The sequence below is a fragment of the Homo sapiens genome, chromosome 8 (genome assembly GCF_000001405.40).
Source record: "Homo sapiens chromosome 8, GRCh38.p14 Primary Assembly".
NCBI classification, from domain to species: domain Eukaryota; kingdom Metazoa; phylum Chordata; class Mammalia; order Primates; family Hominidae; genus Homo; species Homo sapiens.
Window position 1 is genome coordinate 104,845,455 of NC_000008.11, and position 27,988 is coordinate 104,873,442.

The following is a 27,988-nucleotide window of genomic DNA, read 5'->3' on the forward strand; positions in this document are numbered from 1 at the left end:
TGCATGATAGATCTTTCTCCAACCCTTTACTTTTAGCCCGTGGGTGTTGCTACATTTGAAATGGGTCTCTTGAAGACAACAGATGGATAGGCTAGTATTCAAGACAGTGGATTAAAGGTTAGTATTGATATGTGAGGTTTGGATCCTATCATGAAGTTGCTAGCTGGTTGCTTTATAGTTTCTATTGTGTGGTTGCTTTATAGGGGCTATGTACTTAAGTGTGTTTTTGTGGTAGCAGGTATTATTCTTTTGTTTCTATTTCCAGAACTCCCTTAAGGAGCTTTTGTAAGGTTGGTCTAGTGGTAATAAATTCCCTTAGTGCTTGCTTGTCTGGAAAATATTTTTTTTCTCCTTTGCTTATGAAGCATAGTTTGGCAGGATATGAAATTTGTGGTTGGAATTTATTTTCTTTTAAAATGCTGAAAATAGGCTCCCAATCTTTCCTGGCTTGTGAGGTTTCTGCTGAGAAGACTGCTGTTAGCCTGTTGGGGTTCCATTGGTACATAATAGGACCTTTTTTTCTAGCTGTCTTTGATTTTTTTCTTGGACAAGCTGATTACTGTATGATTTTGTAATTTTCATTTTGTATGGTATCTACCAGGTGTCTTCTGGATTTCTTATACCTGTATATCTACTTCTCTAGCAAGATTAGGAAAATTTTCTTGTATTATTCCCTCAAATGTATTTTCCAGGTTGTTTACTTTTTGTCTGTCTCTCTCAGGAATGCCAATAATTCATAGGTTTCATCACTTTACATAATTCCATATATCTTGAAGACTTTGTTCATTTTTAAAAATTCTTTTTTCTTTATTTTTGTCTGACTGGGTTAGTTTGAAAGACTGGTCTTTGGGCCCTGAAATTTTTCTTCTGCTTGGTCCAGTCTGTTAATAAAGTTTTCAATTGCATTTTCATAATGATCAGTGATAGTGAGCTTTTTTTTTTTCCATATGTTTGTTGAGGGCATGTATGTTTTCTTTTTGAAATGTCTGTTCGTGTCCTTTGCCCACTTTTTAATAGCGTTTTTTTTTTTCCTTGTAAATTTGTTTAAGTTCCTTTTAGATGCTGGATCTTAACCTTTGTCATTCTGTTTGTCTTTCTCCCATTCTGCAGATTGTCTGTTTCCTCTTTTGATAGTTTCTTTTGCTGTGTATAAGCTCTTAAGTTTAATCACATCCCATTTGTCAATTTTTGCTATTGTTGCAATTGCTTTTGGTGTCTTTATCATGAAATATTTGCCAGTCCCTATGTCCACAAAGGGATGGCCAAGGTTATTTTAAGGGTTTTTATAGTACTGGGTTTTACATTTAAGTCTTTAATCTGTTTTGAGTTGATTTTTATATGTGGTGTAAGGAAGGGGTCCAGTTTTAATTTTCTGCATATGGCTAGCCAGTTATCCCAGCATCATTTATTGAATAGGGACTCCTTTCCCCTTTGTTTGGTTTGTCAGCTGTGTCAAAGATCAGATGATTGCAGATGTGCAGACTTTTTTTTCCTGGGTGTTCTTTTCTGTCCCATTGGTCTATTTTTCTGTTTTTGTACCAGTACCATACTATGTGGTTATTTTAGCCGTGTAGTAAGTTTGAAGTCAGGTAATGTGATGTCTCCAGGTTTGTTCTTTGTTAGGATTGCCTTGGCTTTTGGGCCTTTTTTTTTTGGTTCTATGTGAGTTTTAAAAGTTTTTTTTTTCTAGTTCTGTGAAGGATTTCATGGGTAGTTTGATAGGAATAGCTTGAATTTATAAGCTGCTTTGGTCAGTAATGCCATTTTAATGATATTGATTCTTCCTATCCATGGGTATGGAATGTTTTTTCATTTGTTTGTGTCATCTCTGATTTCTTTGAGAGTATGTTGTAATTCCTATTGTAGAGATATTTTACCTCCCTGCTTTGCTGTATTCCTAGGTATTGTATTCTTTTTGTGGCAATTGTAAATGGGATTGTGTTTCTGATTTTGCTCTCAGCTTGGCTGTTGTTGGTGTATAGGAATGCTAGCAATATTTGTACATTGACTTTTTATCCTGAAACTTTGCTGAAGTTGTTTCTAAGCTGAAGGAGCTTCTGGGCTGAGACTATCAGGTTTTCTATATATAGAATTATGTCATCTTCAAATGGATGGTTTGACTTTCTCTCCTATTTAAATGCACTTTATTTCTTTTTCTTCCCTGATTGCTCTGGCCAGGACTTCCAATAGTATGTTGAATAGGAGTGGTGAGAGAGGGCATCCTTGTCTTGTGTTAGTTTTCAAGGGGAATGCTTCCAGCTTTTGCCAGTTCAGTATGATGTTGTCTGTGGGTTTGTCATATATGGCTCTTATTATTTTGAGGTATGTTCCTTCAATATCTAGTTTATTGAGAGTTTTTAACTCTTTGTCTTTTTTGATCTTTGTTGGTTTAAAATCTGTTTTGTCTGAAATTAGGATTGCAACATGTGCATTTTTTCTGATTTCCATTTGCTTGGTAGGTTTTTCTCCATCCCTTTATTTTAAGTCTATGGGTGTCATTGCATGTTAGATGGATTTCTTGAATGCAGCATACCATTGGGTCTTGCTTTTTTATCCAGGTTGCTACTCTGTGCCTTTTAATTGGGGCATTTAGCCTATTTACATTCAAGGTTAGTAGTGATACATGTGGATTTGATCCTGTTATTGTGTTGTTAGCTGGTTGTTATGTCACCTTTTTTGTGTAGTTCCTTTATAGTATTACAGATCTGTGTACTTAAATGTGTTTTTGTATTGGTTGGTAATGGTCTTTCCTTTCCACATATAGTGCTTTTTTCAAGATCTCTTGTAAGGTGGGTTTGGTGGTAAGAAACTCCCTCAGCATTTGCTTAGCTGAAAAGCATCATATTTCTCCTTTGCTAAGGAGGCTTAGTTTGGCTGGATATGAAATTCTTGCTTGAATTTTTTTTTAAGAATGTTGAATATAGGCCCTCAATCTCTTTTGACATGTAGGGTTTCTGCAGAGAGGTATGCTGTTAGCCTGATGGTGTTCCCTTTGTAGGTAACCCTTCTTTTATCTCTAGCCACCTTTAACATTATTTCTTTTATTTTGACTTTGGAAAAATCTAATGATTATATGTCTTAGGGAGGATATTCTTGTGTAAAATCTTGCAGGGGTTCTATTCCTGAATTTGACTGTTGGCCTCTCTAGCGAGGTTGGGGAAGGTTTCATGGACAATATCCTGAAATGTGTTTTCCAAGCTGTTTACTTTCTCCCCTTTTTTTCAGGGGTGCCGGTGATTCCTCAGTTTGGTCTCTTTATATGATCCCATATTTCTCAGAGGTTTTGTTTGTTCCTTTTCTTTTCACTCTTTTTCCTTTATTTTTTGTCTGACTGTCTTCAAGTTCCAACATTCTTTCCTCAGTTTTGTCTGTTTTACTGTTAATGCTGGTGATTGCATTGTGAAATTCTTGTAGTGTGTTTTTCAGCTCTGTCAGATCTGTTAGATTCTTTTTTATCATGACTGTTTTTTCTGTCAGCTTCTGTATTGTGTTTATTGTGATTCTTAGTTTCCTTGGATTGGGTTTTGCTGTTCTCCTGTATCTCAATCATCTTCATTTCTATCCCTATTCTGAATTCTATCTCTGTCATTTCAGCCAACTCATCCTGGTTAAGAAACCTTGTTAGAAAACTAGTGCAATCAGGCCATGTGTGGTGGCTCACGAGTGTAATCCCAGCACTTTGGGAGGGTGATGTGGGCAGATCATGACCATCAGGATGGTCAAGAGATCGAGACCATCCTGGCCAACATTGTGAAACCCCGTCTCTACTAAAAATACAAAAAAAATTAGCTGGGCGTGGTAGCATGCACCTGTATTCCCAGCCACTTGGGAGGCTGAGGCAGGAGAATCACTTGAACCCAGGAGGCGGAGGTTGCAGTGGGCAGAGATTGTGCCACTGCACTCCAGCCTGGCAACAGAGTGAGACTCTGTCTCAAAAACAAAAAACTAAACAAACAAAAACTAGTGCAATCATTTAGATGTCATAAGACACTCTGGCCATTTCAGTTGCTGGAGTTATTGAGTTGGTTCTTTCTCATCTTTGTGTGTGTGTGTGTGTTCCTTTAACTGCTGGGCTGCCTCTGATTGAAATGCTCAGGTGGGGGCAGGGTGATTATGCTGGAGTGCCAGGTCAGGCAGCCCTTCCCAGTGAGGAGAAGTGAGGATCAGGACCTGCATGAAGAACAGTCTGGTCAGTTTTTCATGAAGTGGGTGCACTGTGCTACAGGTCTCAACCAGCCCTTGGTTTCTCTGGACTCTCCAGGACCTGGAGATAGCAAAGGTAAGGGCTACAAGACAGCAAAGTTGGCAACCCGCTCCTCCCAATGGGAGCTCTGTCCCAGGGAGTTGCAGAGCTGCTACTGTCTTGATAGCCCTGGTGTGGGGGCTGGCTGGAGACCCAGGCCAGGAGGACCCACCCTGTGAGGAGATACGGGATCAGGGACCCACATAGAAGTCTGTCCACTTTTCCACTGGGCTGCTGCAGTATGCTGGGGGTCCATTCCAATCTCTAGTCACCTCAGATTATCCAGCACCTGAAGGTATCAACAGTGAAGGCTGCTAAACAGTCAAGATGGTTGCCTGCCCCTCCCTCTGAGAGCTCAGTCCCAGGGAGGTAGGGACCTGTTGCTGGCCAGAACACACTGGTGGGGGTGGCTCTAGACCCTGATTGGGAGATCCTGCTTAGTGAAGAGAAACAGGACCTGGGACCCACATGAAAAAGCACCCTGAATACTTCTCTGTAGAGTTGCTGTGCTGTGCTGGGGGACTGCTTTAGTCTCTAGTCACCTCAGACTCCCTAGAGCCTAAAGGCAACAACAGCCAAGGCTGTGAAACAGCAAATATGGCAGCCCATCCCTACCCCTGGGAGTTGTATCTCAGGGAAGCTCAGAACCACTGACAGTGGGAAAACACTAGTGAGGGTGGCTGGTGACCCTCGTCAGAAGGTCTTGCCCAGTGAGGAGAAATGGGACCAGGGACCTGCACTAAAAAAGCAGTCTTGCTGCTTTTTCATAGGATGACTGTACTGAAGGCAACAATGGCTAAGGTTGAGAAACAGCAAAGACGGCGGCCTGTCCCTGTCTCTGCGAGTTTCGTCTCAGTGAAGTGTAATGCTGCTACTCTTGGCTGGCTGGAGTTCCAAGCCAGTGGGTCTTATCCTGCAATGAGTCGTGGAAGTGGGACCTGCAAACCACCACTGTTCAGCCCCCTGGATTCAGCCCCTTTCCTAGGGATATGCATGGGGGTCTAACATCCCACTTTACTGGAATTGCAGCCACTTCTGCCTGGAAGCCTGGATATCTAAAGCTCCTGGACCTCTGTGTGTGTCTGAGCAGCTGTTGTACTGAGACTCCACGTAGCTCTGCATGTCAGACTGCAGGCTCTGGTGGAGTGGGTTCATGAGGGGATCTCCTGACCTGAGGGTTGCAAAGAGCTGTGGGAGAAGTGTGGGTCCCTGGGGTCACTCATGTACTCACTGCTTCCCTGGGCTACGGAGGTTCCCCTGACTCCGTGTTGCTCCTGGATGGGTGGTCACATTGCCTTGCTTTTCTCCACTCTCTGTGGGTTGAGTTGTTTTCTTGATGAATCTCAATGCATGTACCTGGACGTTTCTGTTGAAGGTGCTGTATTTACTTGCCCCTTCTATTTTTCTCTGTGAGAGTGGTGCATGCTAGCTGCTTCTAGTTGGCCATCTTGGCCAGCCTCTGACTCTTTTCTTTCTTACCCACTCCCATAGCCAATCTGTCAGCTTGAAAACTTATTTTAAAAAAGCAAACGAATAAATGATTAAATATATATTTCATAAAATAAGACAATAATGATGGTATACTGCAGAGATGGAGTGAAATGCTAAATTGACTTTCAATCATGTTTTATATATTTTAACATTAGCAATAAGCTTCTCTGAAATTAATTTCCATATATCCACCTATCATCTTTTAACTAGAAATATTTCAGATTCTCCCTCGCTAATCCTTACAACAAAAACTTTGTAATTTTGGTGTTTTGCTTTGTTACTATAGGGGCTCTGTTTTCTCTGATGGCTAACCCTCCACTCATATGTTGACAATCTTGTTGAAATTTAGAATGTTGGATCTCTAGATTTCTCTATACAATGCAGAGTTACTTGCAATTCAATGTCTGTATGTTTAAAGCAACTTTTATTTCTACTTCCATTACACAGGGTTAATTGTCTATGCTTCCCAAGGCCAGAAATCTTTCTCTACCTTCCAGGACAGCAGATTCCTTCTTGGGAAAATCATGAATGGGAGAGGAACTAGTATTTCTGGCCACTTGTGGGAAAGCACAAATACATTTGTTTAAGTGGGAATGGATGGAATTGTTATCTCCCTTTTGCAGAGGAGCCAACTGAGTTTACTTACATAGCTTAAGATCATCAAATTAGTAAGTGGTAGACCTATAATTAAAACCACTGTCGGATCCCACCAAAACCCATGTCCTTTTCATGCAAGAAAGGGATTGGAAACTATCAGGACTTGTATGATATTGTGCTTTGAGAACATGTACTTGGTACCTGTGAAGGGAAAGGGAGAGTTGTGAAGGGCCAAGTGGTTATTGTGTATACACTATGTGCTAGGCATTGTTTATCAGTTTAAATAACTTATTTCTTTGATTTTAGAAATATTACATGATAGTCATAAAAAACCACGAGAAATACATAAAAACATAAAGAAGAAGACAACACAGCAATTCACAGCTCAGAGATAACCACAGTTGACATTTTGGTGTATTTCTTCTCAGTCTTTTTACTATTAACAGATTGAGATCTGGAATGACACAAAAGGTTCAGACAGTAAAAACAGTTTTGAATACTGCCTTTTCCATTCAAAGTTATATCCTATGCATTGTTCTAACTAGAATTTGAATAATTACTTGACGTTTTTGGAAGCTATAATTTGATCTGTGCCATTCTTTTGCTGAGAAGAAAGGATTGGTTTAACTAAAGTAACATAAAAACTAAAGTCATAGTTTTTGTTTTTTGTTTTTTTGAGACAGAGTCTTGCTCTGTTGCCCAGGCTGGAGTGCAGTGGCATGATCTTGGCTCACTGCAACCTCCACCTCCCAGGTTCAAGTGATTCTCCTGCCTCAGCTTCCCAAGTAGCTGGGATTACAGGCACATGCCACCATGCCAGGCTAATTTTTTGTATTTTTAGTAGAGACGGGGTTTCGCCATGTTGCCCAGGCTGGTCTCAAACTCCTGAGCTCAAGTAATCTGCCCACCTCAGCCTCCCAAAGAGCTAGGATTACAGGTGTGAGCCACTGCACACAGCCAGGTTTTTGTAGAAAAAAAAATTATAGAAAGGAAGTAGGTACAAGACACATTGGAATTTTAAATAGAATATCATTCATATAAAACAGGCTCTTATATAGCACTTCTCTTGTAGGAAACTTCCTAAAGGCATAACAAGGTGCCTGATGTGGGGGAAACATTCAAACTGAGTAGACTTCTGACTTTTGACCTGTTTTCTGGAAGGGATCCTAAGCAGATCCTAGTAGACTTCAAAGCACACATGGATTTGTTCTGGAATGACCTGGTGCCTCCTCCCTATCCTCTAGTGTCACCTGTCAACACAATGTTTGCTGAGCTTACACTCTGGGCCAGGCACTCTGTTAGGCACAGGTAATGAGACTCATGAGGCCTTCCTGTTCATAGAGTTTACAATCCAGTGGGGGAGAAAGGTAGGAATCCACTCTTTGCCTGCTCACCTGAGGACAATGGTGGAAAGTGCAGTGGAAGAAAAGCAGAAGGTTCTGGGAGTCTTGGGGCGGCAGCAGGTGGAAAGTGGGTGGTGGGGAAAAGCTTTGCTAAGGAAGAGAGATTTTATCTGTGGCTTGAATGATGAGTGAGCTCTGCCCACGAGAAGTGAATATAGGGAGATAATTCAACTGGAGAGAGGACAACATACGAATTCCTGAAGGAAGAGAGTAGCTTGGGGTTTTCGAGAAGTGGAGAGAGACCAGAGTGGCTGGAGCATAATAAGTGATTTGAAGTGAGTCTAGATAAGTACTATTGTCTATCTGATGCTGCATCCTTTGATTAGTAGGATCTAATAATAGAATAGAATCTAATAAATGCCCACCAATGGTTGAAACACCCACGTCATACTGGTAATTAGGCCTAGGAAAGGAACAATTTTAATTCTTAGGGAAGGAAATACAAATAAGCGAAAATGTCTGAGAAGACAAATGCAAGAGAGAGACTGAAATAGGAAGGACTGTAAACTCAAGGCAAATTTAAAAGGCGGTTTTCCTTTGTTTTAATTCCCAGTGTTTGTTTAGAGGATAATATGAGCATACTCCTAAGTTAAATGCTCCCTCCTTGTAAAAAACATTTTTATACACATTTTAAAAATTCCAAGAACAGAAGAAGCTAATGCTCACATTTTTATTCTCAATGAATTGCCAACATTTTATTCACTAGTTTCACAAAAGAGCTGAAATCTCACGGAGGTTTCTGAATTAAATTAGCTTTCAGAACCATTTAAAGTTCTTCCATTCTATTAATTCAGCAGACAATCAAGTTGTTCACTTGTTGACTTTTATCCACATGCACTCAATCAAATCAACTATCAACGAAAGATACCTATTAGTTGTTAATTTCATATGTTAGATAGGAATCCTAGAACTCCTGTTTATATCTGTTTGATAACCTTCTAATCTTTGCCACAGTCTTACTAACAGCAGCATTAACTAGTCTGCCGTCTATGTTGATTAACAACACTGGGACTCAGAAAGATGCACAGCACCTGATAAGCCAAACAGTCCAAACTTCTAACAATGCCTGTAGCCCTGTGGAAAATGGGCTTCTATCACCATTTTTACAAACCCTTAAAGTTGTCTTTAAATCACAGTTTTGTGAATTATTATTTTAAGCAAATGTGAAGAGCTTGTTTGAGTGTAGAAGCTTTTATTAATAATTGGTAAGACAATGTTTTACAACATTTTAACCCTTTATTTTGTGTCCTCTGTGTTCATAGGTTTAGAAATTGTTTTTGCCTTATGTTGAATTATAAGTATTCTTTGGATTAGATAAATTCAATAAATGTTTATTTCTAAATGTTTGACAAGCACTTACTAGGTACATAAAAGATGTGGAAAATACACATCCACATACCATAAATTTCCATATATTTGAAATTACAGAAGATTTATCTTATAAGTGGAATTATATTGGATTTAATGAGAGAGAGAGAGAGAGAGAGAGAGAGAGAGAGAACAAATAATTATAATATTTGCTCCACATAGTAACTTCCAGGTCATTTTTCAAGCATTTCTTTCAAAGTCTATTTACATTACTTATCCAATGTCTTTGCTGAAATCTTAGAAACTGGCCCGCAGCCTTTGCCTCCATACTATTTCTGGGAAGTCCTTGGTGACTTCCATATCCGCTTTGTCAATGCTTTCACCACTACGACCTCATGGTTTCACATTTTTAAAACTTCCACTGGCCCCATTCTTTATTTCATTTCATACATTCTTAGTCATGGCTACACCATGGAGCTTGGTTAAGACCATGCTGTATCCAAGACTGAAATCTGAAAAGTTCTTTAAGACCTTTTCTTCTTTGAATTTTTATTCGTCCATCTGCTCCTTCAGGTGGCTTGTGGGAAGAAAGTATCAACAAGAAGTTGGAGCAGAAGAATATGGGATGAATGATCTCTGATGTGAGACATCCCTAAATACATCTTGAATAAATTACATAAAGTTGAGATAGAAGGGTTGAATTCTTATCTTACAGGGCTTTGCATAGCACATTTTAGATATTAATGTGATAAAATATGATTTGGATTAAATATGAACTTATCTATATCCTTAGGTTGGTGGACCACAAAGACATCCAAATTTCTTGTTCAATTCCCATAACTATGCAAATGACTCCTTAATCTATTTCTGAAGCCAATGTCACTCTCCTGAGCTCCAAACTTGGGTATCTTCAAATGCCTCTTCTAGAAAATCTTCAAACTCAACATGTCCCAGTTTGTATTCATCATCAGTCCTCTTACACTAGCATCGTCTGTGAATTTTGTTGTTCATTAATGATAACACCATTCTTTAAGCCATCCACATTCTCTTGTTTTGCTCCCCCACTTCCAATCCATTACCAATTCCTGACAATTCTTTTCCCCACAACTTCTGTTAAGTCTATGTCTTTTTTTTCCTGTTCCCAAATTCACTTCTGCAATTCAATTCTGCATTAGATCTCATTCTGAGTACTGCAATCCATGTACCTCTATCTGGTTTCCCCAGACTCTCATTTCTTTAATATATCTCACCCAGAAATGAAGATTTCTTTCATTAACCTACTTTGTTACAGTCATTCCTGCTCAAAATTATTCAGTAGTTCATCTTCTTAATGAAGTTCAGACCCTTTAATCTTGCATTCTGGTCCTTTACAACCTGACCAAACTTTCAAGGTTATTTCCTTCTCACATATCTTTTTAATATTGACATTTTTACATATTTTGGGGGATGAATGTGATATTTTGATGCATTTATATAATGTGTAAAGATCAAATCAGGGTAACCTATCATATATCTTTATCCATATATCTCTCCACCCATTGTCTTGAGTTTTACATTTTATACCTTAGCTCATGAGGTTCCTTCTGCCTGTAATTCCCTTCTACATAACTGTTGGTTACCAAAATGATTTTCCAAACTATTCAAATCATTGTTTCCTACCTTTATTCCTTCCTTCCAGCCTTCTTTCCTATAAATAGATGCATTCATAGGCACCTGTTATGTGCCGAAAGTGTACACAAAGCCACCAAGGACCTCACAGTCTAGGGTAGATGACCAATACATTAACAGGTATAATCAAATATGCAAGCAAAGAGGAGGAGACTGTAATCTATCTTTGTTTGAGAAGTGAGAAGTGAATCACAGAATTTTTGGAGAAAGTTGCAGCTCTGCTGAATCTTAACGTATAATGAAGAATTATCTAGGTGAAAAAGGTAGCAGGGAAGGAAGGCTTTTCCAAATATCAGAGCTAGCGTGAGCATAGGCTAGCTGAAAAAAGGAGGTGTTTGGTGAAACCACCAGGAGGCAGGTGCTGTTTCAGCTTAAGGGATGGAGGAAGGGGGAAGCAGCAGATGAAGTCAGAAAGGTGGGCAGGGTTTGGGGAGGAACTGCTGAACTACGTTAAAAACTTTGGAATTTGTCTTGTAGGTGAGGAGAACCATGAATGGATTTCAGTACTGACATGGCTAGATTTGCATTTTAGATGCACCAAGCAGGAAGTTATGTTGAGAATGAATTTGAGGAAGAAAAACCCACAGCCAATAGCAGTAGATGGAAAATGTTAACATAATCTAGGAGTGAGAGAGAATCAAAAGGAGGAAAACAAAAAATATTCAGTAGCTAATATTGATAGCATTCTCTTAACTGATATTGGAGATTGGGAAGAGAGGGAGAGAGAATCAGTGATCACTCACTGATTTCTAGTTTCTTAATTGGCTCGATAGTGGTGCTACAAATTGAAGATTAAAAAATAACACATGAGGAACAAGCTTAGTGGGGGAAATGAGAAGGAAAGATTAGAGATAAATGTGAAAGGCCTCATTATCTTATCAGGTAAAGATGAATGAAGTTAGATAATGTACAAGAGGCATGGCATGCTACCTGAAGCTTAGAAGGCAGGTCTCTACTGAGTTTTAGAGTTGGAATTAATCAGCACCCAGGTGGTATTTTATACCTGAATTGAGTCTGTAGCAATACCATGTAACATGAAAGGAAAACTTAAGAGATAGCTAGAGGAAGAAGAGCTGAGGAAGTATATGGGGAAGAAATCATGGAAGAGGAAGAAACATCAGAAAAATACATTTTTCTTGATTTCAATATCCCTCTTTTCTTTGAGTTCCCAAAGGATTTGATACTTTTGGTTGGGGCAGGGGGCAAGGGGAACATTTCTTCTATTTCTCTCATTCTTTACAATATCCCAATCTGGTCAGAGTAGAGGAAATTTATTGGGCCGTGTTTACTAATGGATGCATTTACCATTGCAAACTGATGTTCTCTTGTGCCCTGATCTCTTTCTTCTCCTTCCTATTGCCTTTAAGAGAGATAAGTGGTAAGCTGTGATAGGGCTCTCTGGAAAGCCTATCTTGCCTCTCTTTTATTACACACTCCCAAATTCTCATCACTTCATGTGAGAAGTTGGAGAATTAAGACTAGGGCATGGTAGCCGAGTGTGAGTTTTGAGCATCAGACACACTCACTAAACCAATTTTACAGGAGAACCCTGTATTGGAGTATTGGGTCCTGGTCCAGCTAATTCTAAAGTAATAATGTGTCCATTCATCTTTGTCTCTTGTTGTATTGCTTTCTCAGTACTTCAGAGGAAGAAGAAATTGTTGAGCAATGGTAGAATTCAGATGTTCATATCTTTCCCTCTCCATCTCAACATTCCTTTCTGGCACTTACTAATTTACACTATATATTTTTATATGTAAATATATATTTTATTTATGACTATATCTCTTATTCCTTCTGTTATATCATAAGGCCTTTGATATTTCATTCCTATAATAACAGAAGGATTTTCTTAAATTTTCAATGAAATGCCAGATTCTTGGATAGTTTGAAAGATTATGCCAAACCTGCAGCATTCTAAGTTGAAGGTGACAAAAAATGAGGTATTAGAAGCATGAATTGATAGCATTTTGTGTAATGACTACAAATGTAATTTGAAATCAGGATCATAGACAAAACCAAGACTTATGAAAATATTATGTTACGTGCACTTTTTCCCACCAATTCAGTGCCTCATTCAATGCTTTGTAAACACACTATTATGATATCTTTCCCTTTCTAGCGATGTATGTGGGCTTTCCTATAGTCATTTCAGTAGATGCTATAGATATTATGGTATTTGGGAAACTATATTTCAATGTAAAGAAGGCAAGGTGTCATGCTTTGACATTGATTTGGTGGGTAAGAGTGAGAAAGTGCAAGTGTCTATGGGAATACACAACATACTTAATACCTTTGAAGTATGTACTGAAGACTTGCAGTGAGGAAATGCCCTTGTACTTCTCCTTTAAGATGTTATTTTTTATATGTAAGCTTTTCATTGGTTTACTCTAAGCATCCTAGTTTTTTGGCTGCTGAGTGCATGAACGATATCTTGGTGCCTTTTATTACTTTCTTAATAATAATCGCCTTCTCAATGGCAAGGGAGTCACCTCCCAATGGTAGGGGAATTACTTAGGTCTCTCTCTGTGCTCGTGTGTGTGTGTGTGTGTGTGTATTTTATGCAGTCAAGTTGGATTTTTGACGTGTACTTTGAGCCAAGCCAAGTACAAATAATTTTAATTTCCTGAAACAAGAATTTGAATTAAGGGTGCCAGAGGCTAGATATCACCATTAAACCTCGTAATTCTAGCTTGAACATGGCTTGACTACCCAACACCCTGGGCTCAAACCAACTAGATTGGTCTCTGTTTATACACAGTAACTCTCCTTAATACTAAAGGGTGCATTTATATTTTTCAGTTGTAAGTTAATAAATTTTTATAAGGGAATAATGTGTTATGGTGATATTAAAAATTTGGAGATTCTCAACGATATGTCACTTCATGAACACATTATTAATATCTTCTTTACTTTTAAATATAAGATGGGATTCCTATCTTCAAGGAGGAACCTACAACCAGATTGCAAAATCTAGTTGAAGAGAATGTGAAAAATTCAGCTATAGAGGCTAAAAATACAAAAATAGAGTATATGAGATGTCAAAAGTCAGTGATCCAAACTTTAGAATGAAGTTTACATTTATCTTAATAAAATATTTTCTTGACCTCTTATGATTCTGTAAATGTTCCCAATTCCTGTTAAGTGCCTGGGAAATGGAGCCATTGTGAGTGCTTGGTCCATTTTGTAAGGCGTGGATGATAACTTTTGAAAATTCAAGAGAGAAGGAGTGCTTTATCAATGAAGTTGGATGAAATGCATTATATCATATTATGACCATCAAAGTTCTATTTTTCTGAAGTCACTCAGGTGTGGCCACAGAGCCAAGGCTTGAATATTGCTGTCTTGTTTTCTGCTCAAATTCTAGGCATCATGGAAGGCAAAAAATTGCTATTATAGTTTTGATGTTGGTTGTGGTCTGGGTCCCCAATCTGAAAAATGAATCTAGAAATGACCTAGAAGTTTCTTCCTGTTGATGACCACCTTTTATCAAATCACATTTTTTACCCTAGATTTCTTGGCAGAAGCGTTTCTCTTGCTTAGTTGAAACCCAAAATTTTAGTCTCTCTGTATCCTCTGCAGTATTGTTTACTTTCCTTCTTTGCTCAGTGCAAATGATAACTACAACCTTTAGCTTTGGGGAAGGTGGTTGGGGTATCTTTCTTTTCTACCAGTCCCTTCTTGAAAACAATATTAAGTGAATCTTTCTTTTGTCCCTTTGCTTTAGTTATTAATGTGGCAAGTACTTTTGAATCTATTCCTCTATGTTGAGAGGATAAGAAAATTGTATGCAATTATAGAAACTTTGTTTTATACCTTTAGTAATTTTTCCATCCATTAATATAAGTCTACTAATTTCTAGTGAATCTTCAACTAGGTCACAAAAGCCTGAATATTTGATTTCTGTTAGAAAGGCTAGGGTTGATAAGATGTTTCATTCATAATTCTATTAATATTAACTTCATGTATATATATCACCTCCCCTAGAACCTCTGACCACTTTTTTATAAAAAAAAATTTACTCTTTGTTTTATTTTGTGGTGCTCAAAAAACAAAAGTTCCTGTCTCTGTGTATGGCATTTTGAAAAAGTACAGTCATGACAATCTTATTATTATAAGTCTCATTTTAAAATATTCATCCCATCCAATAATAATGAGCATACCTTTCTTACAATAATTGTGTTAAATGTTTAACATTACAAAGCACTGAGAGAGCATTTCAAAGCTGACTCTCTTGATCTGACAGCCACGGAGGGATCTTCTTGAGCACAGCTCACACCAAGGAGGGAATATTTTCATTACTAAGAGAAGATGTAAAAGGAACAAAATTAACATTTGTTGATCATATAATATGTAATAGGTACCATGTGAGATATTTTTTCACAACAATCTTTATAATAACTCTATGAAGCAGGAATTATTATATCCATCTTATAAACATGGCTCAGAGGTAAAGGACCTTGCCGAAAGGAATATGACTAGAAGGTAGGCAACCTGAGGTTCCCCAACCTGAGGTTCCAATCCAAGTCTACTTGGTCACAGAGCCCATATATTGTTTTCAGTGTATCTATTGCTTTCTAGCGTCATAGCAGCATGGAGAAAGAACTGAGCCTAAACCAATTTTACAACTGTGGATCCATGGGAAAGTTGGGCTTCTGGGCTGCTATCTCCCAATTTGTCAGAAGAGAAAAAACAAGTTCCCAAGCTGGTTATGAGAATTAAATGAGATGGTGTATGTACAAATTCTTTGTAGAAAATAATTGTGGCCAACATGTTTTCATTAGTATGATAGGTTTTCTAAATACTTTAAATATATTTATTGATTTATTCATTATTTTAAAGACCCTATATGGTTATTTTTACCCCCAGTTTATGTAAGGAAACTGAGGCACAGGCTAAGTGACTTCTCTAACATCATACAGGTAAGTTGCAGAACCAGAATTTTTTGAACTCAGGAAATCGAGATTCAGAATGCATGCTTTTAACCATTAGTATACAATATGCTGTAAAATATAAATGTTGGAGAATTTTAGATTTCAGAATAAATATTAAAATGATACAAGAAATTAGGTGAGTTCAGAGTCAGCTAATAACTTTGGAGAAGTAGAGCTGCAGCTGTTGAACATCTTAGCATATACATGGGCAATAGGAGGTATTTGAAAGAAAGTTCATCTAGCTGACTACTATATGAGGATGGAGCAAGGCACTCCTTTTGCTTCCACTTTGACCCCTTAACAATGCTAGACTGTCTACAGTGATCTTTTCCCAGGGACACTCCAGTGCCTTGGTAACATGCCTACTGAAGAACTTGAAGGATCCTAGCAGGGAAACATTCTCTTAGATATATAAGCCTAATATATATGCTGATATGGTTTGGCTCTGCGGCCCCACCCAAATCTCATCTCAAATTGTAATCACTACTTGTTGAGAAAGGGACCTAGTGGGAGGTGATTGGATTATGGGGGTGAATTTCCCCCTTGCTGTTGTGATAGTGAGTGAGTTCTCATGATGTCTGGTTGATTGACAGGTGTCTGGCCCTTTCCTCTTCTCTTTCTCTCTCCTGCCACCACATAAGATGCGCTTGCTTCCCCTTTGCCTTCCACCATGACTATAAGTTTCCTGAGGCCTCCCCAGCCATGTGGAACTGTGAGTCAATTAAACATGTTTTCTTTAAAAATTACCCAGTCCTGGACAGTTCTTTATAGCAGTATGAGAATGGACTAATACAAAAAATTGGTACCGGCAGAGTGGGGTACTGCTATAAAGATAACCTGAAAATGTGGAAGGGACTTTGGAACTTGGTAATGGGCAGAGGTTTGAACAATTTGGAGGGCTCAGAAGAAGACAGGAACATTGGGAAAGTTTAGAACTTCCTAGAGACTTGTTGAATGGTTTTGACCAAAATGCTGATAGTGATATGGACAGTGAAGTCCAGATTGAGGTGATCTCAGATGAAGATGAGGAACGTACTGGCAACTGGAGCAAAGGTTATTCCTGCTCTGCTTTAGCAAAGAGACTGGTGGCATTTTGCCACTGCCCTAGAGATCTGTAGAACTTTGAGCTTGAGAGAGATGATTTAGGGTATCTGGCAGAAGAAATTTCTAAGCAGCAAAGCATTCAAGAGTTGACCTGGTTGTTTCTGAAAGCATCCAGCCATATGTACTCACAAAGAGATAATCTGAAATGATAACTTTTATTTAAAAGAAAAGCAGAACATAAAAATTTGAAAAATTTGCAAAACGGGCCAATGTACAGCCCAGGCTGTTTCTTCAGAGGGTGCAAGCCCCAAGCCTTGGCAGCTTCCGTGTGATGTTGGGCCTGAGTGTGCATAGAAGATAAGAATTGAGGTTTGGAAACGTCTGCCTAGATTTCAGAGGATGTATGGAAATGCCTGGATTTCCAGGTAGAACTCTGCTGCAGGGGCAGAGCCCTCATGGAGAACCTCTGCTAGGGCAATTCAGAAGGGAAATGTGGGGCCGGAGACCCCACACAGAATCCCTACTGGGGCACTGCTTAGTGGAGCTGTGAGAAAAGGGCCAGCATCCTCTAGACTCTAGAATGGTAGATCCACTGACAGCTTGTACCTGTACCTGCAAAAGCCACAGGCACTCAATGCCAGCTCATGAAAACAGCCACAGGGGCTGTACCCTGCAGAGCCACAGGGGCAGAGCTGCCCGAGGCCTTGGGAGCCCACCCCTTGCATCAGCATGCCCTGGATATGAGACATGAGGTCAAAGGAGATTATTTGGAACTTTAAGATTGAATGACTGACCTACTGGATTTCAAACTTGCATAGGGCTTGTAGCCCCTTTGTTTGGCCAATTTCTCTCATTTGGAATTGGAGCATTTATCCAATGCCTGTACTCACATTATATCGTGGAAGTAACTGACTTACCTTTGATTTTATAGCCTCTTAGGCAGAAGGGACTCCTTTCAAATGAGACTTTGGACTTGGACTTTTGGATTAGTGCTGGGATCAGTTAAGAATTTGGAGGACTGTTGGGAAGGCATGATTGGTTTTGAAATGTAAAAAATATGTGAGATTTGGGAGGGGCCAGGAGTGGAATGATATGGTTTGGCTCTACGTCCCCACCCAAATCTCATCTCGAATTGTAATGCCCATAATCCCCACTTGTCGAGGGAGGGAACTGGTGAGAGGTAATTGAATCATAAGTGTGGTTTCCCACATGCTGTTCTTATGACAGTGAGTGAATTCTCATGAGATCTGATGATTTTATAAGTCCTTGACAATTCCTCCTTCACGTGCTCTCTCTTTCTCACCTGCCACCATGTAAGGCATGCCTGCTTCCCCTTTCACCATGATTGTAAGTTTCCTGAAGCCTTCCCAGCTATGCAGACTGTGAGTTAATTAAATCTCTCTCTTTTTTCAAAATAAATTACCCAGTCTTGGGCAGTTTTTTTTTTATAGCAGTGTGAGAATGGACTAATACAGTGCTCAATAAATTAGCTGTTAGACAACAGAGTACCAACAGGATACCTGAAGCAAAATTTGACAGAAATGAAGGGAGAAATAGACAATTCAACAGTAGTAGTTGGAGACTTTACTATCCCACCTTTAATAATGGATAGAACAACTAAGCAGGTCAGTAAGGAAACGGAAGATGTGAAGAATACTATAAACCAACTAGCCCTGACTGATATCTGTGGAATTCTCCATTTAGCAACACAACATACTCCTAAATAACCAATGGATTAAAGGAATCAAAATGGAAATTAGAAAATACTTTGAGATGAGTGAAGATTACCAAAACTTATGCTACAACAGTGCTTAAGGAAAAATTTACACCTATAAATGCCTGTATTAAAAAAGAATAGGCTGGGCGCAGTGTCTCACACCTGTAATACAAGCAAGCACTTTGGGAGACCCAGGTGGGTGGATCACTTGAGCCCAGGAGTTTGAAACCAGCTTGGACAACATGACGAAACCCCATCTCTACAAAGAATACAAAAATTAGCCAAGTGTGGTGGTGTGTGCCTGTGGATCCAGCTACTTGGAAGGCTGAGACGGGAAAATAGCTTGAGCCTTTGGGGTCAAGCCTGTAGCGAGCTGAGATTTCACCACGACACTCCAGCCTGGGTGACAGAGTAAGAGCCTGTCACAAAAAATAAAAATAAAAAATGAAGATCTCACATAGTTAACTTTACCTTAAGATACTAAGGGGAAAAGAGCAAACTAAACCTAAAGCAAGTAGAAGAAAGGAAATAATAAAAACTAAAGTGAAAATTAGTAGTGATGTCCCAGAATAGTGTTAAGAAGTGTTCTAAGATAATATGCAGGCCTGGAAGAAAAGGGTGCCTAGAGAATACTAATGCTTGTCAGAGTTGTGAGTTCAGGATTGGGAATAGAAGCATAGAAGTCACAAATGTATACCCTGAATTCTGGGCCTTGTTAGCATAAATCTTCAAGAAGCATTTCCTCTTTTTATGCTTATATTATGAGCATATGTATTAGACTGTTTCCACATTGCTATAAATAACTACCTGAGACTGGGTAATTTATAAAGAAAAGAAGTTCAATTGACTCACAGTTCCACATAGCTGGGAGACCTCAGGAAACTTAACAATCATAGAGAAAGGGGAAGCAGGCATGCCTTACATGGTGGCAGGAGAGAGAGAGAGAGCGAGCATGTGAAAGAGGAACTGTCAAACACATAAAACCATCAGATCTCGTGAGAACTCACTATTATGAGAACAGCATGGGAGAAACTGCCCCCACGATCCAGTCACTCCCCACCAGCTCCCTCCCTTGACAAGTGGGGATTATGGGGATTACAATTTGAGATGAGATTTGGTTGGGGACACAGAGCCAAACTCTATCGAGCACTTACTATATTCCAGGCCTTGTACAAGACAGCAGATACACAGGGGAAATCAAAATGGATAGAACCTTACCCTTAAAGCTTATAATGAGATACACAGACACTGAATAATTAAACTTACAAATGAATTATAATTTAGAAATTATAATAAATGCTGGTTTTTTTCTACTAGTTTCTAAGTCATTCATAGTACTTACCATAACATGAAATTATTTCACTAATTTATTTATGTTTCTATCTTTTCTGATAGCCTACATGCCATGTATTTATCCATGTATCTATGTATCTATCTGTCATCTATTTATCTAGTTACCAGAAACTCTTGTTTTCAATCCCTGGCACAGTGTTTGACACTGTGCTCAATAAACATTTATTGAAAGAGAGAGGAATGAAAGAAAGAAAAGAGCAGGACATTAATAGGAGAGAAAATAAAAGACTTAATTTAGTTTTCCAGGATCAGGGAAGACCTCCTTTATGAGTTATTTAAAGATTTGACCTAAAGGATAAATGGAAGTCAGGAGAAGGAGGGTTGGACAAAGATACAGGGAATGGGAATTCAGTTAAGGGACTAAATATTTGAAGGCTATAAGGCAGAAAAGAACTTGTCACATTAAAAAGTCATTTGCGAACAAAGGGAGAGTCCCATAGATGAAGTTGTTAAGAACAAGTCATGAAAGGCTTATAAACTAGAATCAGTGAGTGGATCAGGGTGAAAGCCAGGTTGCTGGAAAGAAGAGATCCCAAAGTGCAATGGCTCAAACAAGATGGCAGTAAATTTCTTTCTCAAAAAAGAGTCTGGGAAAGCTAAGGGGTCTCTGCTTGGCAGATTCATCCACAGATGTAGGCTAACAGAAGTGTTCTGCCATCCTCAATACTCCTCTTCCAAGATTGCTTCTGTTGTTGCTATATTTAGTTGGTGGAAATGTGAGAGAGCATAAGGGTGTGGGCATCCCATGTGCGAAGACTGGGGTGTGGAAATGGCACACATCATTCGCATTCATTTTGGAATCATCATTGGAACCTAATTATATGGTCACATCTAGATCCTAGAAGAACGGCAAGTTCCAGTTGTTGTCCAGACACCTATTGTCCAGATGCAACTGTATCACCAGAGAAGAAGGGGAGTAAAGATTTAGAGTTGATTCTAAGGGCAGAGAATAATTATTGTAGGTTTTAAGCCAAAGGTATGTGATCAGATTAACATTTTAAAATGGCTTGTGTGAAAAAATTTATTCTAAAGGCTCAAGAGTGGAGGTGAAGAGATTTGAGTGAAAATTAGTGCAACATTTCAGACATAAAGTGGTGGTAGTTTGAACTCTAGTGGTGTAGTGGAAATGCAGAGAAGCAGTTATTTGAGGTATAATCTGGAACTGTAATTGCCTGGGAAAGTATTGGAGATGTGGATGGGGGTTATTTGAAGGAGACATATATGTAAAAAATGACTTCCGTAGTTCTGATTTAAGGGACTGAGTAGATGGTGGTGCCATTGACTAAGATGGGAAGGCTGGGGGGAGAAGTAAGTCTTGTGAGAAGATCAATAATTCCATTTTGTATATCTCATGTTTGAAATGTTTGTTTCCATATGACTGCAACTGACTATGGAAAGGTGGTTAGTAGGATGACCTTCCTAGTTAGACCTGGGCTAGGTAGACCCAATTGGGCTAATTCCCCAAATATGGTCCGATGGATTGTAAATGGAGCCTTATACTTTGCAGGGCACCTGGAGGCATCATTTGCTTCAGCCTAATGAAATACATGAACTTACTCAAACATATACTGCTTTGTGTCTCAAGTGTTGGTCCTCTGAATTATCTTTTCTTCTGCTTCATCAATTTCCCCCTCCTGGTTTTCCCAGTCTCCAAGTTCTCTATCTGACCATCTAGTCTGTTCTTGAGGCCTTCCTTTCGCCTCATGGTATTCTATGCATGCTTCCACCACAGAGCTGATCACAATAAACCATAACTGAACATGAAGTTTTCTCTCTGCCCAATAGACTCAGCTTCCTGAAACTGGTACCTGGCCCTATTCATTCCTGTATCCCAAGGGTCTAGCATAGTACCTGGGACAGAACAGATGCTCAATAAATATTTAAGTGGATAAATCATTCTTGAGCAACCCACTCTTTGTTACTAGAAAAGCCTTCTTTATTTAAAATAGTAATCATATATTTGGAATAGAACTAGCTAAAAAATTTAAAAATATAAATCTATGTGCATAAATATATTCAGAGGGAAGAATATATTTTAACATGATTAAGCTTTCTGATGACAGGGTTGATTTTTGGGAAAATGTGTTTCTACAATGCAGATTCCACCTTACATTAAAGAGCACAGAGTTGCTTGTGGCTATAGAGATACTTTCTGTCTATGCAAATACTGACATATATGACTAATGTAGATGCCCTCTCTTTTGAGTAACAACAAAAAAAAAGATTTTCACCTGAATGTTTTTCAGTGCAAATATAAGCATAAATAAAGATTTATGTAGAAATTGCAGATGGCTGAAAACAGAATGAATGTGTAAAAGAGGTCAGATGAAAACAAAAAAAAATCCATGCTGAAAGTTTGTCTCTACAAAATTCTTAGTATTTCCATTGGGTTTTATTTGTTTGTTTTGTGTTGTTTTGTAGTATTTATTATTTACTATACTCCAGGCACTTAAGCATCTCACATGCTTTGTTTCATTCAATCCACTTAACAGCTCCAGGAGGTATATACAATAATTAATGAATTTTAGTTTATGCTCTTTCTTATTAGCTTTCATGGAATCTAATCAGAATTTTAGGGTAGATTCTTAGATATATTTGCTAACATGCTACACGATAGTAAGCCTGTCTGCCCAATTATAAATGTGAATGTTCTCCCACTTTTATTTTTCTTACAAACAAATGAACATTTGTGCATTTACTGTGTTGGACTGGTAGAGTCTTCTATTAAGGTTAAATGTTTCTCGTGGAAAGGCTTGCCATGGACTCTTAGTCATTTGAATCTAGACACTCTTTTTACATCCTCTTGTGTTTGTGGTAAGCTGAGGAGTTGCAAAGAATCCCAACAGTGAGCAACTGTCACTGGCCTAGCCTTAAAGCACTTTAAAAAAAATGCCAGGTGCCATAAACCACAAGTGAGGCAACCGATTTAAGCCTCATTTTAACTTCAAAGACCCATGAAAATATTGCAATGTGTTGTGGTAATACTAGGCTTATGACTCCTTGGCTCTGGCTTATGAAGGCCCAGAGGAAGACAGTTGTATCATTACTACAGTAAATGATGCTCCCAGGGGCCCCTTCTTTACTTCCCATGCTTCCAAATGGTGAGAAGCTGCGGAAACTCTTCTGCATCCTTCTCCTGAAACTTTCTCTGGATTTTATCAAGAGTTGTTCTTGCCCCGTTGTTGAAAACCTCTCTTTCACTAAACCTTGAAGAAATGTTCCATAAATATTATTGTATTGGGATATTCTAAAACACCGACTTTTAGCTCCTGAGGTTACTCAATTTTTAGAAGATCATTAGAGTTAAAAGAATAAAAATAGTCTTTGTGCAGTCAGCGTTTTCTCCAATATGACTGCACTTAATTATCAGATTACATGGTGTAGGTTGTTTAGGTTCAAATTTATATACGTGTGCTTTACATGGTAAAGGATGGATTTACACAGGGGACTTTCTCTTTTTCCTCAGTGTAACTATTTATGTATTGCTTAATTTAAAGATTACCCTTGGAGATAGTCTACAGATTGGGATACTGTATTTTACTCAGTTTACATTTAGTTTCAGGATGCTTGCATTCTATGAAATGTATTTCAAGACTCCCTAAAAAGACAAAATAGACACTCTTTAAGCAGTTTACAAGATACAGATCTTTATCTCTTACAAAGGAAAGGAAACAAGGAAGCTGTAAATAATAAGTTCTGAATAGAAATGACATAAACTGCCTAATCAATGTCTTCCAGAACTGGCAAGTGACACCTCTTTGTTTTTTGCAAATAAAAACCTTCTTCCCATCACAATATAAACCATTATCTCTGCAGGCAAGGTATATTTAGAAATGTACAAAATGTACATTTCCTGCCAGCCTCTAGATCAGTAGGTGGAGATCTAAAGTCATGCAAATATTACAGTAAATGCAGGCAACCAATTTCTAATTATTCCATATCAGCAGATTTGTGAGGAATATAATTTATTAAAAAAGAACAGTTTATGATCAGCAGACCTTGGTTATGACTGTTTAGGAATTCAGTGCATTTTGATCTAATCACAAAATCAAAATATTCATGAAACACAATGATATCTCCCCAAAGCAGCCGGGCAGCCATTAATTTTGAAATTCGGGTAATTTATTAACACTTATCTGAAGCTGTAAAAGCTTACCTCTGTGTTTGTAATACGGAGAAAAGTGAAAGCAGTTTTAAAACTGATTCCTAATGATTTATAATGGTTTGCTGTAATTTGAGCCAGAAATTCAATTAAAATGTATGTCTAGTTTTGTTTCAAGATCTTTAGTTAAAAATTCTATTAAAATTCTATTTCCTTCTTGCATTAAATGTATCTGTTATCTGCATATACAAGAAATATAAGAAAATTCTATCATTTATTCCCCAGTCCCCATAAATGCTTTAAAAAGCATTCATTTTTATTTCATAATTCTGCTAAGGTAGCATTTGGAATTTATATACAGTAGAAGAAGAATTACTGTATATGCCATTTTCTTGGTAAGGAAAGAAATCTAACACTGAATACTTTAGGGACAAGTCAAGTAATATTTGCTACTTTATCAAACTAGAAGAAAACAAATAAAATAAAACAGACATTTTTGATTCCAAATTATTAACCTAATGGTATGTCTCTGAGGTTTAAAAAAAACATATAACATTCCAGAGAAAGGAGCAGGAGCCAGGGAGAGGTGTGGGGAGACAGATGTTCTACTTCCCTGAAACAAATACAAATGAATTAAACTTTGAAGGAATTGTTTGCGGGTGTGAGATTCTTTAGATTATTATTATTATTATTATTATTATTATTATTATTTTTTTTTTTTTTTTTTTGAGACGGAGTCTCGCTCTGTCGCCCAGGCTGGAGTGCAGTGGCGGGATCTCGGCTCACTGCAAGCTCCGCCTCCCGGGTTCACGCCATTCTCCTGCCTCAGCCTCCCAAGTAGCTGGGACTACAGGCGCCCGCCACTACGCCCGGCTAATTTTTTGTATTTTTAGTAGAGACGGGGTTTCACCGTTTTAGCCGGGATGGTCTCGATCTCCTGACCTCGTGATCCGCCCGCCTCGGCCTCCCAATAGATTATTTTTTTTTAAACAAAAACCAAAAACACAATGAGCTTGGTGGCTAGCTGAAGGAGAACCTATTAGTTCTTGCTTTTTATTTTCCATTATTTTCTTGAACTACATTAAATCTTGGAATAATTACCAAGTGCAAACATTAAAAGAGCTGGTTTGTGTCTTTTTTTTTTTTTTTTTTTGGTAGCAAGAGTCTATGAGCAGAAATAGTAAATGAAGCTAATAATTTTTTGAAGATTTGCTATGTATAGATACTTCACATGTGTTTTAAACATTTCAATCTCCTCAATAGTAGGTATATTAGACACAGATGTTATTTATATTTTACTGAAGTGGTAGCAGAGGCAGGACAAAGTTTCATAGGGCTGGTAAGTGGAAGGGTGAGGAAATTCAGAAGGGTTATGATTGATCTTCTTTGCAATTTGACCCTACAGTGGGGTGGACAGGTGGGTGGTGGTGACGGCATTCAGAAAGCTCAGAGTTGGACTGAAGTGAGCCAACTCAAAGTTTATGGGCTATTTTGAGAAAGGGGAGGATTCAGTTAGCAATAGCTGTGGGCTCTGGGAAGAAACAGGGTTAGGAACCTGCTTGTCCCCGCTCTCATGGTAAATTGGGGACCTGAGCAGGGTGCAAGGCTTGAAGAATGGAGAGCCGAGTGTCCTAAAAAATACCAGAACACAAACAGAGTAAATGATGAGTGAAATGATTACAGAGAGAGAGAAAGAGTGAGCAAGCAGGCTAAGTTATAAAGTCATGTGAGCCTGAGACAGAGGGAAGCCTCAGAATGAGATGTTAAAAAAACCAAAGAAGGGGAGGTAGGCCTGGAGGAATTCTTAAGCTTAAAATCTTTTTGTTTTTTAAATTATTATTATATTTGAGTTTATTTAACCCAATATATCTGAATTATTATTATTGCAGTGTTTAAAAACATGCTCAATATAAACATTTTGTATTTTACATTTTTGGGGGTAATATTGAAACTTAACATGTTTTGATGCTGCTCTGAAGGTCCCTTGTGAGAATGAACCAGGATCATATAAAGCAACAGACACCAGTAAATCATGTACTTTTATTTGGCTGCTCCCTTAGCCAGAACCACACTGAGATTTCCCCGTGTTTACCTGGTGAAAGGTACTAATGGCCAGTGAGTTTGCATTTTATACTTCCAGGTGGGCCAGGATCTGACATCATCAGGAGCCCAGCTCTTCCCTACACATACAAGGGTTCCTCATCTGGTATCATCAGAATTTTGGCAGGGCTTTTTTGGATTTAGCTTGTTGATGAATGATGCAAACCGGCGTGGATGCCAGAGCTGCTGTGAAAGTGGATATTGATAGAAGCAGATTCAGGAATGAGGTGGGGGTGGGCAGGGGGTTTAACTACAATTGCTGATGGGTTATTGATGGAGGAATTTTTCTAGGCATTAATATGCTCCATGGGTCCATCTGCCAACAATGGCTAAGTGGACATGAATGTGAAAGGCCTTAAACAAGCTTATCTAAAGCAGACCTGTCAACTAGGGTCTGTGGTCAGATGAAGTAGGTAGGTTAGAGGTAAGGAAGATGGGAGTTGAAAGATTAGGGGTCTAAATGTACCACAGCTACCAGGGTATTCTTATGGTAGAGGGAAGAGGAAGTCAGAGATGCAGCATAATGTGGTAGTATTTCTGGGTATTGTGAATGCAGTGTTCAGTCTTCTTGGGTTGGCTAGGCCAGTATTTGACACTTGAACCATTTCCTGTCATGGTTGAGCTCACCAACAGTCTCTGTACATGTTGTTGAAAGGTTTGTATGGGTCAGGTTGGCCAGCCAGAATGGCATTATGACATAACCAGAATGTCTAGATTCTGGTCTTCCTAGTGTGTTTATATAGTTGACTTCCTTTCTAGAATAAATCTTTCAGAATTCTCTACTTCCCAGGGCCAGGCCTGGGAAGCCCTGCACTTTTGAGAGTGTGAATCCTGGTACTAGATCAATTATCCAATTATATTTCTGATTAGGGGAAAGTTTTTGGCTCCTCGTTAAAAAATAACTCCCGTTACAAAACATGCTTGTCCCATCCTGGGCATGAGAACATTTGATAGGGAAGCTCCGAGAGAGAGAATCATTTCTCATTATAGAAATCTGATCAAGTAGAGGTGGCTATTGACATTCTGATGTCAAGTCCAGATGAACCTCTATCCATGTTCTAAATGGAAAGTTAACTGAGTAGGAGCATAGCTACAGTGCCCTCTCCGGGTTCCCTGATGTGGCCTTGCCAAGAATGCAAATAGGCAGAAATAGAGTCCATGGAGATTAGGAAGAAAGATGACTGTGGAAGAATTAAAACAAAAGCAAGATTTAGGAACGAATACGGCAACATAAAGGGCTTCTGAAGCCACCCTGATTTTCCATTTCTTTCTCTCCTTCATTGCCTGAGAATTTAACTAAAACTCTGACACAAACAGCCTAGGGCTTTTCTGAGTATTTAGTTTTTGTGAATTTTTTTTTTTGGAATAAATTGTTTCTGTTAATTAAACTTCTTCCTATTAACTTTATAACAAGGGTACTTTTTTGGCAAGGCAGATGGCATATAGAAGAAATATCTCTGTGAAAAGGTGTGGCTGACAAAAGTTTACATGGCAAGAGTTATATTTCCAAAGGTTACCTGGTCAAGAGAAAACCAAAAGACCTTGAAGTAAAGTTACTGATGCTTAATGATTGTTAAATAATGCTGCATTGAAGAATGGGGATGGGAGAGGAAATCATTTGATTCCATGTACAAAAGTCTACTAGTCATTAGGGTCCTGTGGTTATTGAAATAATATAAGAACACTAATAAATATATTAAGAAATATTGAGAGTTTTTGAATCCAAAAATGCAACATAAAATTTTAAATAATTTGTTAAAAATCAGAACAATTTATCCAGGGTTAATTGTCATAACAAGTAAATGCATGCGTATTGTTTTGGCATATATTAATTTATTCAGTTTTTAAATTCACCAATTTTAGTTCAAAGCAATCCTACTATTCCTTTACCATCAAACTTCTTGAAAATAATGTTTTACGGTTGATGTTTTTACTTCCTTTACATTAGCTCTTCACTTTCATATACTTTATGTATAAAGTTCACAGAACCTGGTTGATGCTCCTCCTACGCTAATGAAACAGTTTTCA

General features: G+C 38.4%; 1 long non-coding RNA gene across 1 annotated transcript in view, besides 2 other annotated features; it reads left to right on the top strand.

The window, feature by feature from the left end:
* The window catches only part of LOC105375694 (uncharacterized), a 68,330-nt gene that overhangs the window by 18,072 nt on the left and 22,270 nt on the right, over window positions 1–27,988 (top strand). The gene's annotated exons all lie outside the window — the stretch shown is intronic.
* Window positions 19,193–19,393: a silencer, noted in NCBI's record as "peak7137 fragment used in MPRA reporter construct". NCBI's record gives its function as "represses an SCP1 promoter by STARR-seq MPRAs in K562 erythroleukemia cells {active_cell/tissue: K562}" and the evidence as "EXISTENCE:reporter gene assay evidence [ECO:0000049][PMID:32103011]".
* Window positions 19,441–19,500: an enhancer, noted in NCBI's record as "active region_27798". NCBI's record gives its function as "activates an Ori minimal core promoter by ATAC-STARR-seq in GM12878 lymphoblastoid cells {active_cell/tissue: GM12878}" and the evidence as "EXISTENCE:reporter gene assay evidence [ECO:0000049][PMID:35858748]".